This window comes from Homo sapiens, chromosome 4 (genome assembly GCF_000001405.40).
Source record: "Homo sapiens chromosome 4, GRCh38.p14 Primary Assembly".
Classification (NCBI taxonomy): Eukaryota; Metazoa; Chordata; class Mammalia; order Primates; family Hominidae; genus Homo; species Homo sapiens.
In genome coordinates, this window is record NC_000004.12 from 157,315,060 (window position 1) to 157,332,218 (window position 17,159).

The 17,159-nt window shown below is 34.0% G+C and overlaps 1 protein-coding gene across 7 annotated transcripts in view; it reads left to right on the top strand.

Moving 5' to 3' along the window:
- Positions 1 to 17,159, top strand: part of GRIA2 (glutamate ionotropic receptor AMPA type subunit 2) — a 145,956-nt gene that overhangs the window by 94,940 nt on the left and 33,857 nt on the right. For all 7 annotated transcript variants that reach the window (XR_007096394.1, NM_001379000.3, XM_047450131.1 and 4 more), the window contains exons 5-6: positions 2,599 to 2,652; positions 6,379 to 6,540. Coding sequence is in view for 6 of the 7 variants with exons in the window: in NM_001379000.3 (NP_001365929.3) it covers positions 2,599 to 2,652; positions 6,379 to 6,540 (216 nt within the window). In the remaining variant the exon portion in view is untranslated. The remainder of the gene's footprint in view (positions 1 to 2,598; positions 2,653 to 6,378; positions 6,541 to 17,159) is intronic.

Here is a 17,159-nt window from a genome sequence, read left to right on the forward strand (position 1 = left end):
TCACATAAGACGTGGCATTTGGCTTTGCTTGGATTCATTCATTTATTTGTTCAGTAAATATTCCCTGAGTGTCTAATGTTTGCCAGGCAGGCACTGCAGTAGATCCAAGGAAGCAATGTTAAACAATAGGCCAGCCACCATCAGTGCAACTATTAATAATGTATTTACAGAAATTAATATATAATTATACTAATGGGATACACTATAAATGAAAAGAATGGTATGCTATGAGAGATCATTACAGAAAGAATTAATTTAGATTGGGATATTGTTCAAGGAATAGATTACCTGGCAAAAAATGAGGATAAGGTACATTCCAAAAAAAAAAAAAAAGAAACAATGTTTATTCACTCAACCAGTGTTTTTTCAAGACAACAGAGATGAGATAGCACTCCTTATTGCAACAGTAGCTTGAAGTTAGCAATAAATTAAATTTTATTAGGCTATGGGTTTTTTTTTGTTTGTTTGTTTGTTTTGTTTTGTTTTGTTTTGTTTTGTTTTTGACACAGATTCTCGCTCTGTCGCCAGGCTGGACTGCAGTGGCGCAATCTCAGGTCACTGCAACCTTCAATTCCCTGGTTGAAGAGATTCTACTGCCTCAGCCTCCTGAGTAGCTGGGATTACAGGCACACACCACGCCCAGCTAATTTTTGTAATTTTTAGTAGAGACCGGGTATCACCATGTTGGCCAGGATGGTCTCGAACTCCTGACCTCATGATCTGCCCGCCTTGGCCTCCCAAAGTGCTGGGATTACAGGCGTGGACTATGGGTATTTTATTATCATTTTATAAAACTTTGACAGCACAGATTTCTAGTTATTATTAGGTGGTAAAAAGATTCAGCCATCAAAAACATTTATAAATTAATATAACTTTTCCATTGTCAGTGCAATAATAATTGTTATTATAACACAAAGACATGGTGGTTAGTATGGCCAGTGCAAATTTTTATATAGATGCTGGGGTAGAGAATTTTCATATCCTTCCTTTCTCTCAAGTAAACTCAAGTAGGGACTACTGATACAACCTTTTATACTATGTTTTTAAAAAATTTCTCAGCAGGAAGACATGGATGATTCAGAGAGTAGAATGTACAGTAAGCAGAGCTAACAGATGTCAGCAGGAAATAGGAGGGACATAATCAATCTGATTCAGCTGATGCTAATTTATATGTTTTTCATTCAGAAGGACATCTTTTCTTCAGAATTCTCCCCTTAACACGGAGGGTTCAGTTTCTTGGAAAAGGCAATTTAGTCATGTTACATAAAACTGAGTCAGAAAACAATGTAAGTTTTAACTTCCTTTCAAACAGCTATGGCTTAATATCAAAGTGGCATATGGTAGAATCATTCCTAGGATTTTGTTCTTGCTCTTTAACTAATAGCATTGCTCTGGAGCACCTGACTTTGTATCCGATTAGAGAAAGTCAGGGTAGTTTTCTCCCAGGGGGTGTAAGAATGTTCAAGAGTTAATAAGGCAAAGGATATAGTGGTGGAGCTTTCCAAGCAGACAAGCAGAGGAAGCAAAATGTGTGAAGCCCTAAGGTGATGAGAAGAAGCTTCCCTGTGAACAAAAAAACCTAAAAGGGCCAATGTGACTTGAGGGTACAGAATAGGAAAGTTGAGCCTCAGAAACTTGCAAGATCATTGGACTTTGGAAAGCAAAACTCACCAAAACCATTTAATCAGAGAAATGATTTGGTTTGAATTTTTGTCTATAGCCTTAACATTTCATGCTTTCCACTGTTGTGATCATCTCCTTAAAAAACATACATTACATTACATTTGAATGTCCCTGTACCAGGACTAAAGCATGGCCAGTTTGCCTATTTCTACTCTCTTCGTAATTGATACAGATCATTCAAAAGTCAAATTGATCAATAATGTCCAAAACCGTTGTCAGCATTACAACGATGACCACTTGTTTCATGCTGTGTTTATCTTGACATTCATTTTAGATTTGGGTTTGTGGAGAAAAATTAGCTTCTCTGATACTTTGCTCTCTAGAGCTGGCAATAATGTCCCTTTGGACTAAATTATAAACATTTCACGGTCCTTAGGATAGGAATGTTATTTTACATATCCATGTAAGAATTCTTTTATATGCTTTTAAATATTCTTTTGAAATGTATGTAGTACTATAAACTCTAGGTGTATTTATTTGAATATAGACATATGAATATAAAATCTCAGATGTTAAACAGTTTGAGATGTTTAATGTTTTATTAAAAAGACAAAAACATAGCCTTTGTAGGAATAGAATTCTGACTTGTCATGGACTAAAGATACTTTGGTTTCATGCTTCTTAACATTCTGTGGTTTTATTTTTTACTATTGACAAAAATGAGGTAATAATTTTTGTTTAGTGACTTCCTGAAAGAGAATCATTTATTAAGCGTTAATATGTATTATTACTTTTTATGAGAGAAATATTATCTAATTTTGATAATTATATTTTATCAAAAATGACTTATTTTGGCACATCAACAAACCTAGCAGATAAAATTCCACGTTTTTCCCTGAATCAGATCATAATACCATTAATTTTACACTTGCATTATTTGTATTAATTAAATAATTACTTATTTGTGCTTATTAGGTTATTACCATTGGAAAACATGTTAAAGGGTACCACTACATCATTGCAAATCTGGTAGGTGAATTAATTGGTATATATTATTTTACTAGATATGCTTATTTATTAAAAATTTAATTTTGAATGGCCAGCATTTATCAGTGGTGTTTTAAAAAATACAGTTTGATTGTAATTAGCCAGGTGTAGTGGTGGGCACCTGTAATCCCAGCTACTTGGGAGGCTGAGGCAGGAAAATTGCTTGAATCCAGAAGGCGGAGGTTGCAGTGAGCTGAGATCCCACCATTGTACTCCAGCCTAGTGACAAGAGACAAACCCTGTCTCAGAAAATAATAATAATAAATATAGCTTGATTATATTTGATATATTAGATATATTGCTGCAATTATGTTTTAGAATTGCTTCCCACTTTGCATCTTCTAATCAATTTCTTATTATTATAAATGATATAAGAATTTATAGAACAATATTTGACAAGCTTCATAAATTGTCTTAGATGCTGTATTTTAAGAAAAGGGAAAATTCTCAAAAATATTTAAAGTTTAATTGTCCACATATTCCCTTGTCTCTGTTTTTCACTGTCTCTATTTTTTATAAACTCTGCCCTCTGCATATTCCTTTAATTTTTAGCATATATAATATCTGAAATAAATGTAAATTTGTGAGAATATGTCTTAGTATGAAATTAAACCTGAAAAAATCTAGAATATTGAGATATTATGCATTATTTATGACTTCCTACTTACTATGTAAGCAACCAAATGAAAATTAAATTTCTGTAGCCAATCATCTTTTTATTATGATTCCTGTCAAAATAAGGACCACTTAATCACGGCTTCTTGGGTTTGTGTTTTCTCTGGGCCGTGGTCACTCATATTGGCTCAGAATAAACCTTTTACAATTAAAAAAGAAGGTAGTATACTGAAGCAACAGAGTAGTTAATTCTATTTCCCTCTTTTAAGCATCATCAGAGTCAATTTAGAATTATCACTAGAAATTTCTTTTTTCAAAATAATTTAAGCCTTTACTGCTACAGAGTTTAATGTTATTTAAATAATTAAGATGCTATGTGATTCAGGATCACTATACCTCTACACCCCTGTCTCACCCAAGAACAAGAAAAAAAGGTGAGAGAAAGAGGGAGAGAGGCAGAGAGCTTATTTTAAATAGCATAATAGGACTTTGAAAAGCTTTTGACATATACAAATTTAATGATTCCTAGTGTATCACATTGTTACATCAGAAGACATTAGTTCTAGTGGTGACAGAAAGAGATAAAACAAAACAATACAACATTTACAGCCTTCCAACTGATAAATGTTGTTTTCACTAGAAGTTGAAGGAATTTAGAATATGAAATCTCAAAACTGCATGCTATTGGGTTGCTCAAGACAAAATTTCTGTTTGGCAATGAAATGGGTAACTACTATAAAAATTCTCTAGGACTTTCCTTTAGAGTGTATTAAGATGCTAAGGACTCCCTGAAGAGAAACAAGAGTTAAACTAGATGAAGCTCTGTATTCAGTCTCTCCAGAACCACATTATGTGCAGGAAACAGCCTGGACAGTCAGTCCCCTGTGTGAATCGTGCCATTTGATGAACAACACAGAGCCACATTGAAAGCTGTGATCTTTAAAAATGTACAGATGGAGAAGATTATATTTGAACATTGAGAAATAATGACAGAAGGTGGCTCCTCAATTTGAGAGCTGATATCTGATGCTATTAAAATGAAAATAAGTGTTTGAATGACCAAATTAAAAAGAAAAAGAAAAAGCAAGTTCATGCTGCTGTCATGCTTCTTGAGAGAAAATCTACCTAATATTTTATCTGAATTCAAGTCTTGTTTTTCTTTTTCTCAATACTTGGTTTCTTTGCCATATGGAACTTCTAGTGAATCAATAAGTTCGAAAGGCTGTATAGTGTTGCAATTTCTGAGAATTTGGAGGACACTTGGAAATTTTACTGACATTCAAAATTAAACAATGCCACCCGAAGTTGAAGGGCTTTCATCTTCCAAACTCTTGAGACTTTCCTTTTCTTCCCCCTGTCAGGTTGTAATGAGTTCTATAATAGGTGTTTATAGAAGATTTTTTAAAAATCTGCAGATAATATTATTGATTAATTTCCTTAGGAATTGCTGAATGCTTGATTGGGCTCCTAAAACACAGTGTATAATTAAGTCCCTTACAACAGCACTGAAAAGGGTAACTTGTAAATAAGGTGATGAAGAAGTGGTCATAAGGAAATCCAGTTCTCATTTCTCCAACCTTACTACCCTTATAGATTTAATTCTTTAAAAAGCCATGGTTCCATAATGAATTCCAGCATTAAGAAAGGGGTCTCCTAGAAATTAAAAATTCAAGAAAAAGTTGAAACAAATTACCTGATATGTTTGAATATTTTATTTTCTAAAAAGCTTTATTCATAGGCATGAAATGTTTTCATGGAAGCACTGGAAAAAATGGGGATAAGCATATAGAAATCTCTAGCATTGAAAAAATGGGACATGATTATAAACATGGGCTGAGATCATGTTCGAGAAAGAAAATGCAATTCTAGTACACTATTTGGCTTTGCTCTGAATAACATTTAGAGTTATAAGTACTGATTAAAATGGGTGAGAAGATAAATGGTTTTGTCATGTAAGCAAATTACATACTCATGTGGGATACACAAAAACTCAATAAAATTTCAAAAATTGATAAATTAAGAAAGAGCAGTAAAAGTGTCATGCAGAAGTAAGAGGTAAATATGTGAAAAGCAAATATATTAAAATTGAATGTTTTGAAGCAACTTAACTGGAACATACCTACGGTAAAACAGAATATATGATTTTTGTTATATACCTTTTTGCACTATTTGCATTATCTTGATAAACAGAAACAAAATTGTGAGCCAATAAAAAGTAATTACCTTCTCCTTCAGCTAAATAATATAATAATATGCATGTTTTAATATCAATAACAAAGAAAAGATTCTCCTAAGTTTTGGGGTGTGGTAATTCAAAATTAATTTAGGATACTTTTAACTTTTGTGTACAATAAGATAAATATTTGTGAAATGTGAAAACATTTATAATTGTGATATATGGAAATTAATTTCATCTTTGAGAGAGATATACTATCAAGTTGATAAAATTCATGTCAGCACAATATTTGAAATCAATGTAAATATCACATAATAGTTTTAGTAATGACTGAATTCATTGCAATAACACAAGATAAATTTTTTTTTAAGATTTAATATATTCTATAAAATTAGCTTCTGGCTGAATGTGAAATTGTTTAATTGTTCTCAAATAATGACTGGACATTTAGTACCTCATTTTGAAGATGTTCCTATCACCTGAGTGAAGAAGTAATTCAAACAGGAGTAACTTGCTCACAAGGTTGTAGTTCTTCGAGAACTACTTTAATGTTATTAAGTGTCTGTAACCACATGGTGGTTCTCCGCTGTAGACCAAGTAAGTAAAACCTAGTCCTTATCAATGGAAGATTTCTCAATAGAGTGGAGAACATTTATGTAGGTACAACCATGAGTGTTTCATGAGATGATCCATCAGTAAACGTGTATTGATTAGGGAACCACTATGATGCTAATGTGGGGTTAGGTGCTGATGAAGAACACTGGCTGATAAATACATGGGACATTTTCTGCAGGCTTATTATATCTCATATGTTCTTTGAAATATCTAAAACCACAATGTATAGAGTTATTTGGTAAATGTTAAGTAGCATTTTGTTCTCAAACAAAAAGCGTGATATCAATGTGTTCTATGTTTAGGGATTTACTGATGGAGACCTATTAAAAATCCAGTTTGGAGGTGCAAATGTCTCTGGATTTCAGATAGTGGACTATGATGATTCGTTGGTATCTAAATTTATAGAAAGATGGTCAACACTGGAAGAAAAAGAATACCCTGGAGCTCACACAACAACAATTAAGGTTTGCTTTGGTTTCTGTCTTTTCTTTTTCTTTCATATGTGAGGAGAGAGAAGAGTCTTGGCAAATAAGGAGGAAGGAGAAAATAATAAAGGGAGTAGAGAGCACGTTTCAAAATATGGCAAACATATTGACTGCTAAATATATTTTTCACATTTTTATGGTTTAAGTAAAGCTATTAGAGCTTTACTGTATTACTCTTGTGTTTTCTACTTCCGTACACCTATGATAATTTATAATAAATAAATTCATTCATTTATTAATCCATTTGGCATTTTTATTGAGTGGATTCTGAGCCAGACACTTTTTTGGCAAATAAGACAGGGATAATGTCCCTGCTCACAGTTGAATGGAATAAAGACAAAAGCATTGACAGAAGAATGCCACGAGGGAAGAGAACAGAAAACTCTTAGCGACATGGAGGGGGTAGGGAATTTTTAAGCTGAGACCTGAAGAATAAGGGACAATTTTACCCTGACTGCTGTTTAGAATATTATGTTTGCAAATAAATTAAAGAACAATAGGTGTCAGTTTGTTCCTAATCTTCAAAAAGCCAACTTGCAGACAGTTCTTAGTTCAGTCAATAAACGTATGGCCACAAAGAGAGAGAGAGAGAAAGAGAGAGAGTGAGAAAGAGAGAGAGAGAGTGTGTGTGTGTGTGTGTGTGTGTGTGTGTGTGTGTGTGTATAAAATAACAGTTGATGAGTAGCCTGGTCTCTTGAACACTTTAAAAAGAAGATAAAAATCTCAATTTGCCTTAATAATTAAAACATAACTGTAATGCTTTATGCAATCAAACAAAAAATTCTTGAACGCTAAATATTATTTGTTCCTCAGGTATAAGAGCTACACAGACTGATCTTTGTTCTCCATGGGTTTGGACACAATGAGATCTTCACTTGTTTATTTGATGCATTTTATTGGGTATACACATGCGTGCATGAATTTACTTCCAAGTAGTCAATATTTCTGCTGTTGACAGGAAGGTATTTTTCCTTCAGTTGGTAACCTTATTGAGAGCAGAGTTAAAATGAAAAACTGGCTAAGGGTAGTTTAAAGAGTGAGTGGGTTGAAAGTTAAGATGATGTTCACATTCTTTATGAAAATTAAGAGCAAAAGTTGAAAAATTGTATAGTAATTTTGTTTGTGAATTATAAAGCAATTGTATATGAACCAGGCAGGACAGTGTTATTTCAGTTGCTCTCACAGTTGTACCTGAGTATGCATCATAGAGATGTTGTTTGATGCTAGGTGCATGACTGTCTATGAGATTGGTCCTAGAAAAGGATTAGAAATTTTGAAGTTCTTTACTTTTGGATTTATAAATGGATCTTTTAATTTTTAAGTCAATTTTGTAAAAGCATTCCATAGGATTTTAAAGAAGAACACCAAGTAACTTTTTTTCAAAAACGAGGTGACTTCCTATTTGGTGACTTTAGTTGAGATTCAGTATTTGTGGCCGGGCGCAGTGGCTCACGCCTGTAATCCCTGCACTTTGGGAGGCCGAGGTGGGCGGATCACGTGGTCAGGAGATCGAGACCATCCTGGATAACACGGTGAAACCCCGTCTCTACCAAAAATACAAAAAATTAGCCGGGCGTGGTGGCAGGCTCCTGTAATCCCAGCTACTCCGGAGGCTGAGGCAGGAGAATGGCGTGAACCCGGGAGGTAGAGCTTGCAGTGGGCCGAGATCGCGCCACTGCACACTCCAGCCTGGGAGACAGAGCGAGACTCTGTCTCAAAAAAAAAAAAAAAAAAAAAAAAAAAAAAGACATACTGTTTATATCGGGGAGGTACTTTTCATGTAACGAGGCTTCTGAGCAGGTAGATGGATACCCAGAGCCTTAGTTGGTGTCAGCGTATGTATCCATCTGTGCCTAGAAGGGGTCTAACTGCCGATCCCATTCTGTGGAATTGCAGGCTTCCGTCCATTCAGAGATGGTGCCATGTAAGTTCTCTGATGGAGTGGATGTTATCCTCAAATGGAACCAGCATGCTCCTTTCGAATATTCTGTTAGTCATTGTGTTGCCCCCAACTGCTGCCTGCTAGGAGAAGCATGAAAGCAAAATGAAATTATGTTTTTCTCCTAGAAGTCGTATCATGATTCAAGTTAATGTGTCTTGCATTAAAATGCAAGAGGTATTTGCAGTGTGAGAGATGTTTGGCAATGCATTCTGTTAAAAATTTTGCCAAAACTAGTGCCAGATTTCACTGAGTTGAGAACCTGCATTGTGACCTTTCTTGCTCCCTTCCTGCTGTAGCATTTCCCCTCCATAATGCCTCCCTTTTGGTGGCTTCTGCCCATTTTCAGAGAGATCATTATGCTTCTTCACGGTGAGGTGTTTCAGAGAACCTAGACTAATGTGTTTTAAAACTTAGGCTGTGAATCACTGTTTGACCCTGGGTCCAGGATTCTCATCTGTACAATGCAGTAATGACCATTAATTCCCAGGTTGCTGTGAGGATTAAATAACACTTGCAAAGGGTTAGCACAGCTTTGGAAACATAGGTGCCTATAAGGGCTAATTTGTTTTCCCAGCCATTTCCTAAAATGAGAGAATTTCAGCCAATTTCCAAGGTGTATTCCAACTTTAACATTTTATAATCCCTCTAACTCCACCCAGAGGCATATTTTATGAGGTCCCTGAAGCTCAATAAAAATTACTGAAAATCTGTGAGGAGAATGTGTTTGGGGAGGAAGTTTATCCTAACAAAGAAATGCATTGCTTATGTACTAGAAGGCCAGAAACTAAATATAAATAAATGAAAAATGTATGAATCCTGTCTTTGAGAATCCAGCCTAAAGAAGGAGACAATCATATCAATCAGCAAATATAATAGACTGATAAAATATGCCAGTTTCTTGGCCATGATTTTGACAATGTTTGGAGGGAAGGTCAAGGAAGGCTTTCATGGGAGGGATGCCTGTGCAAGGCTTTGCACATGGTTGAGAAGGAAGAAAAGTGTGAGAAGTTGCTTGGGGAAGTGCAAAATGTACAGAGACTCGAAGTAAGGCAACAGCATGACAGATCCAGGGAACTGCACATTTGTTGCTACTGCAAAAATGTAAATATTTGGGACCAGTGAGGAGGGAGGTCATGTTATGGAAGTTGCAAGAGGTAAGGTCCTTAAATTGTCAACAGATGTGGAAGGTAGTAACAAGAGCATGCTTTCATAATTATTTTTGCTTCCAGACAGAAGAGAGGAAGAAAAACTAGGAGATTATATAGCACCCTCTAAATATAAACAAAGAATATAGTCTCAATATATTATTTGCTTACAGAAAGGGAGTGAAATATTTCTAATGAGATTATTAACAATGAGGTTATGTCCTTTGATGTTGTCTTTTGGGTGATCGACTGAATTGGATACATTGCCTGATAAATTCATATCACATTTTACTACTCAACTACTCAACAATAAAAACTAGTGCTATTGGCATAAAAATCTATAAAAATACAGTTCAATACACCAAATTCTTTCCATAGTTAGGGTTTAGGAATTATAGAAATTATATCAAATCGTGGGAGTAATAAATAAATGATTGTTCAACGTTTTCATCTTCCCCTAAAGTTAAATCAGCTTCCAAAGTTTTCAAATTAAAATAAATTTTATTCAGTAAATAAAAATAAAATGTAAATAAGGTTTAATATTTAACATATTTTAATAACCACCAAATATAAATTACAATGTTTAAATTTCTTCATTCTTACAAACTATACAAAAAATAACTAAAGTCATGGCACTGAGATTTTAGGTCTGATTCCCTTTTACTAATTTGCTATTTGGGGCAACATTCATTCATTCATTTATGAATTCATTTATTTACTCAACACATATTTATTGTCTACTCCACAGCAGGCACTGTTCTAGGTGTCAGAGAAAAGACAAAGTTCTGGCCCTTAAGGAGATTACAGTCTTCAGACTAGAAACCAACAATTAAATTGTAGCATTGATGGAGGTTGTCTTATTGCCATCTTAAACTTATATATTCAAAACTAAACTTATGATTTTCCTCACTACTTCCTCCTCAGCCTCTGGAAACTATTCCTTCAGCGGTCTTTCTTATCCCAGTTGATGGCAACTACGTCTTTCAGTTGTTGCTTAGACCAAAAACTTGGTCCTTTACTTTTCTCTTTCTCTTGTAATCTACATCCTATGAATCAGAAAACCCCATTAGCACTGCCTCACTTCCTACCACCTTCTCTTCAGCCAACCTAAATCCCTAGGTAGCTACCACCATAGGATTATTACAACAGTTTCTAAAATTGATTTCCCTCCGTTCACCCCTGCCCCTGTTATCTTCCATCCTTGTGGTCCTTTTAGAGTATAAATAGATTATTTTGTGGTTCTGTTCCAAATGCTCCAATGTCTCTCCATTTCACTTGGAGTAAAAGAGCCAAAGTCATCCTGTTGTCTTATGAGGCCCTGTCACCCAGTCCCATGGAGCCACATCTCTGTACACTGGCTCACTCTGTTTCAGCCACATTGGCCTCCTTGCTGTTCCTCAACCAACCTAAGCAACTTCCTACTTTAGGGCCTTTGAACTGGCTGTTTCTTTTTCTTGACTGTTGTCCCCTTAAATATTTGCATGGCTAAGTCTCCTGCACTCCTTAGATCTCTTTCAAATCCTGTCTTCTCATGGAAGGCAATAGTAGGCTATGTATTTAAAACTGCAATCTTGCCACCATCAGGGTTTGTGCATCACCCTTCCCTGATCCAGCTTTCCCAATTCTTACCTTTTAGTTTACTGTTCTTATCATTTATGTATTCATTTCACTGTTAATTATCTCCTCCTACTTGAAAGTAAGTGCCATTTAAAAAAAATTCATTGATATAACTCAGGCTCCTAGAATAAATCCTCATACATAGTAACCATCTAATAGATACTTCCTGAATCAACAAATAAAGAAAAGCAAAGGTACTGTGGTATCACCTATGAGAAGCTCCTAATCCTAATTCTAGAGGTAAGAAAAGGCTTCTCAATGGGAGCAATATGGAATTGGAGACCTGAAGAAGTAGGAGTTAGGAGAAAGCATAAGGAACAATGATTCCAGATAAAGGAACTAGGATATGTAATGTCTCCAGTGCAAGGAAAATATAAATATTTCCATAAGGCTTTAGGTTGAACAGAAATGATTTGAAGAAATGCTGAGAAATCATACTTTAGAACTGTGTATGATCCAGAAGTTTTATGCCTTGTTGACATATTAAGGATTTCTTGTCTAATTTGAAGAGCAACAGGGAACTACAAGAGGAGAGTGCTGATCATGGCTTTGATACAGGAAGATTACTATGGCTGCCCTGATGACAAGAGATTGCAGGGAGCGCTGGTGGAGGCAGGGAAGCTTTTGGAAGATATCACAGTCAGACAAGAGACAATGGTTGTCTTAATTGTGGTTGTGGCATGGGGATGGAGGGAAATAGATGGATTTGTTACATCTGCCTTTTCTCTTAATTTCTTCATAAATGAAATAATAATTGTAAAATCGTAATCATTCATAGGTAATATACTGATATAAATTCAGTCAAGAGATATTTGTGGGTTAGAAATAAGCCTTTCAAAGGAAATCTGGCTCATTTGTATCTTATTAGCCTTAAATCTCACACAGTGGTTTGCAAAGAGTAAGCACACTATAGATATTTGTAGGGATGAAGAGTAATTATTTGGAAAATATTGAATAAGTAAAGGAAAAAATATAACATTATTATTGTGATGAAATATGATTTAGATTTCTGCCATAGATTTCTGCATGTGTCCTCTTATTGAGCCCTGACAGAAAAGCAATGAGTTACTTTAGTTGATAAAATGTAAAGTTAATGTAGTTATCTGACCTGACCCATCATAGCACCAGGATTTACATGGGAATATTAAAACAGTCATTTTATCTTCCTTAAAAGTAATTTTTTTAAAGAGAAAGAGTATAAAGATATTTCCCACTATCTCAAAAATAATTTATGAATATTTCTATTTTTAGACTGATTTTTAGTATTTTTAATGTCTCCAACATCGTGTAAGGTATGACTAGCCATTCTACCTTATCACATAGTAACCTTTGTTCAACTTTTGTGTCTTCAGTCTCCTACTGGTGTTAAGGAATTCAACAATAATCTGTGGCTGACATTTGTGTGGCACTTTAAATAATGGCTTTCCCACAAGAATCTCATTTTATTCAGGAAACAACTTCACACGCAGACTCAAACTTTCTTAATTGCTGTCCTAAGAGAGTTATTAGATCTGCCTGAAAATAGTATAATCTTTTTCAGTTCAGTAATTAGTGTCATGCATTAAATTGTACCCTAGTGGCCTAATAGAATTAATTCTGCTTCTTGAGTGTTTTAACTGTCCAAACCACAGCTGGCAGACTGGCGTTCACTCTTCCTAATATTACAGCATTTTGCCCAACACAACCTGGAAGTTTGAAATTTGACATATTAATTCCTTGTATTTTATAGTTTAAAAAGTGTGTAAATGACTGAAATAAACTTATAAATTTTATATTGATAAGATTGTTTATTTTGTAAACATGAATTTTAAAAATATGTATATCACACCATTAAAAATAAAAATGTGTTATTAATATTTATAATTTAATTCAGGGCATCTCACATCTTATTTTCATATTTCTTTATCTGTAAAGGGAACAAGTGTAGGTAAACTCTTAGGTTTCCTGCAAATCTCTAATACCATGATTATGTGAAGTGCTAACTTAAGCCCTCAATAAAACATTGTTAACATTTCAAATTTTTGCCAAATCTCTGACATCTCAAGTGGTGCCTCTGTCTCTTAGAGATTGTAGTGACTTGCAGGTAGGCAGACAACTCTGATCTCCAGGTGCCGAAACTGAATCCTAAATTACTCTGGACAATGTATATTTTGTTTTTCATAGATCATAAAAAATAAAGAACTTTCACCTTGTTATAAGATTTCTAGGAAGTGGAGAGTCAGGGAGAGGGATGTGTTCAACCAACAAAATAAAAGATCTGCTTCTAAGGAAGTCTTTACCTATGGCTGAATCAAACCAGACAATGCCTTGATTTCAGCATCTTTTTTCTGTCTTGGTGAATCTGATTAGCTTTATCTGAAAATTTGAATTCTTAAGTAATCTAAAGTTCCTGAATATAAAATTCTTAATCTGTAAGATTTTCAGTAAAGATTAATAGCCAATTTGGGTAATTTAGGCAAAAATATGTTGTTTTACATTTATTCCTTTTACCTGAAGACTCTTTCTTCACAGAAAATTAAAATTATTTTATTATTTATGGAGAATAATAAAAGATGTTAATTTAGGTTTCTTGCCAATGCAGCTCCCTTTTCACCCTTGGAAAATGTGATAGAGCTTGTGTGCTTACTAAGGTTTTTATGAAGATTTTTATGCCTTTATGCAGTGAAGTTTCAAAGGGCACATATTCAATATGCTTTACAGTAAATTAAAGACGACCTTATCACAGACAGCTCTTTTCCATAGGGTAAACTGTAGTTGAATTTGAAATTAAGACAAGTGAATAATTTTAAGTTTATAATACATTTCCTCATACTGTTCATTTGTCTTATGGCCCTATTTGATTTGGTCACTGTTGGTTATCTTAAAAAAAACTTTCTTAAAATTTTTCTTATAGATTTACTTATCTTTCCTAGAAATCATAATTTTTGACCCTGTTTTAAATTATTTTGTAAAAGGATGAAACTGAGAATTAATATTGCATAAGATTCTCCAGAGGAATATCAATCAATGTATAAAAATTTTTTAACTAAATAATTGAGGCTATTTTAGAAATGAGTACGTAAAATGTACCAGGCCATAAAACTTTTTAACATTCCGAAGTATGTTACATAAAACACTATTCTTATGGAAAATAATTGATGTTAAAGAAATTTCAAAATTGGTCATTAATTTGGGAAATACTAATTAAACAGTTAAACTGTTATTGCGGGATTTCTGAGGGTCTATAATATGTCAATGTGAAAATCATTTTCTGTACTTATTAGATCACAGAACCCTTTTGTGTGGAGTGAGATGGTGGTTTTCAAAACATGGTAAAAACAAACTAGTTTTGCATCAAGATAGATAGTAACAAAAGAAGAAAATAATGCAAACCTACTGGTCAATAACTTACATATATAACATATTTTACAACTCATCAAGCTTCTCACCTACTATACATTTATTTGATACAGTATTTGCCAAATAAAGTAACTAACCATCCCAGTGTACCTGGGATTGAAAAGGTTCCTGGGACTCAAGACTTTTCCTTGCAAAATTGTGACAATCGAGGAAAACCAGGACCATTGGTCATCATAATTACCTCGGAATCACAGAGATCTGGATTCAAATCCACTTTTGCCACACATTTTTTGTGAAGCTGGGTAAAATGAAAGTTTATAACCTGGAATCTTCACCTATAGAATTGGAATAAAAACAGTGGTGGCATAGGGTTTTTTAGACTTACTGGGAAACTGTCTACCTCAGGCTTGTCACAAAGAGAACAAGGTAAACATGAATATTTTTCCCTACCTTCCTTTTCAACGCTCTTGTAACATAGACAGAAGAAGCATTGCTCTCCTTATTTTACTAAACAACCTTAGACAATAATACTTTAGTTCACTTGCCCAAGGCAACAGAACAGTAAATAATAAAATCTGGACTTGAGCCTTGTCTTCTGATGCTAAATGCAATGCTTTCTAAACTATAGTCAACTAAATTCAAGTGTTAAAGAAAATTTCTGAAAGTCGCCATTCATGGGAAATATCGTCACACTTTAATAGTACTTAAATTTTAGTACTTTTTCTTTGAATATATTTTTTCAAAATTTTATTATGATGTAGATACTATGTTTAGAAAAAGGTGCCCGTCATTGTGATAACCCATGAAAATTTATACTGTAGCCTATTTATCCTCTTTTATGTTCATTAAATTTGAGCTATACACAGAACTTTTTTTCATTCTCCCCTTTTTTGGTGTTAGAATACTGTTTTCTGGTATCAGAGATCACAGTAATGTATTATTGATTGGTTTGGCTGATGACTATTGGACATAACAAACATGTCTAAAATGCATATTTCATTTTATTTTTGACAAATAAGTCTCAATAAATATACATTTAAAGCAAAGTAAAAAGCACATTTGGAAAATGGACTGTAAAAACGATTTCCCTGATTTTTTCTTAATGTGTGGCTATGACGTGATTGTGATATAGCACTGCAAAGCAAAATGGTCCTCCACTGAAATATAAATTTCCAACTCAGCTGAGGGATTTCACAGAACATAAACACAGGGGCAGAGATGAAGCATTTGTTTTCAAAGGAGATAGTTACATTGCCATCATGCTCCTTTCAAATTAATTTACATCTAGTTTAATGAATGGTAGAATAAAACTGAAATATTTAACTATCCAATCAAAAAATGTGAACATATTTGTTTAGAAAAATAAATGAGCCATACATGCAGAACATAAGCAAAAAGGAACTCTGGAAACAGAAGCTGTTGATATTCTCTCAACCCAGAATTGTGTTTCTATGATTGTGACTTTTAATTTAAAATGGTAATAGGCTTAAGACTTGATTAGTTTTGAGCATTTGAAAAAGGTTGAAAGGATTTTTACTCTTAATGTGTGCATGCTCTGAATCATATTCATAATATGCTACGTGGATCTGAATGCTTTCAATTCTTTCAAGCTAATCATATTTTTTTTAATGTAGTTAACCAACATTTGTAGACCTCAAACACATTTGGTAGACGGCTTTATAGCTTTCCCTTAGTAATGTGAGCAAGCTAAGTCAAAAATGTTGGCTTTTTGCTATGATCATAATTTCCATACAAACTGCAATATTTTAAAATATTTGACTTATTCAATTTAGCTTACATTTCTTTTTCAGAGACCTAGACATTATTGTAAGAATTATCTTGGCAATAAACTTATCACTGTATAAAAACAAATTAATCAATTTTTTTCCTTTAGAGTAGAAACAAACATACAAGTGAAGCAGATATATCTTGATGTGATATTTCTTATTTGGTTCAAGAAGTCTTTTATTAAGTAGATGTCCTGTATTGTCATCTCAGGTGAACAACAGAGTATGGGGAGCTTAGTGGTTTTACTGTTAGATGGCTTATCTTTTTTCCATGACAAGGAAGGCAAGGTTTTCAGTGGAATTTAGAGAAAGAGAAATGTGTGGAGGTCTCAGTATTTGGAGAAGACAAAGATGAAATTATCATTTTTGAGAGTGAAAGACCTGAAATACTAAGGAACTGAGTAGAATTATTTGGGAATGCTGAGTACCTGTTTTGGATTGGTGATCAAGAATTTAGCATGTCACAAAGTCAGTATGGTACAGTACTGCATTTTTTTCTCCCAAGCTTCGCCGTACTCTTAGTACCTACAGATTGAAAAACAATGACAGAAATTTTCTCAACGTTCAGTAAAACTTTAATGTCAAAATGTAGTTAATCATTAACTGACAGCATCATCCATTTGGCAAATGGTAGTATAGATACATGCACATACTACTACTTATCTAGACACTGACAATGCCTTGTACACATGTACCTAGGGCTTGGCCCTAGAACCTGTAATAATTCTGCTGTCCCACTGGGATCTGAATACCATAAGTTTGGAACCA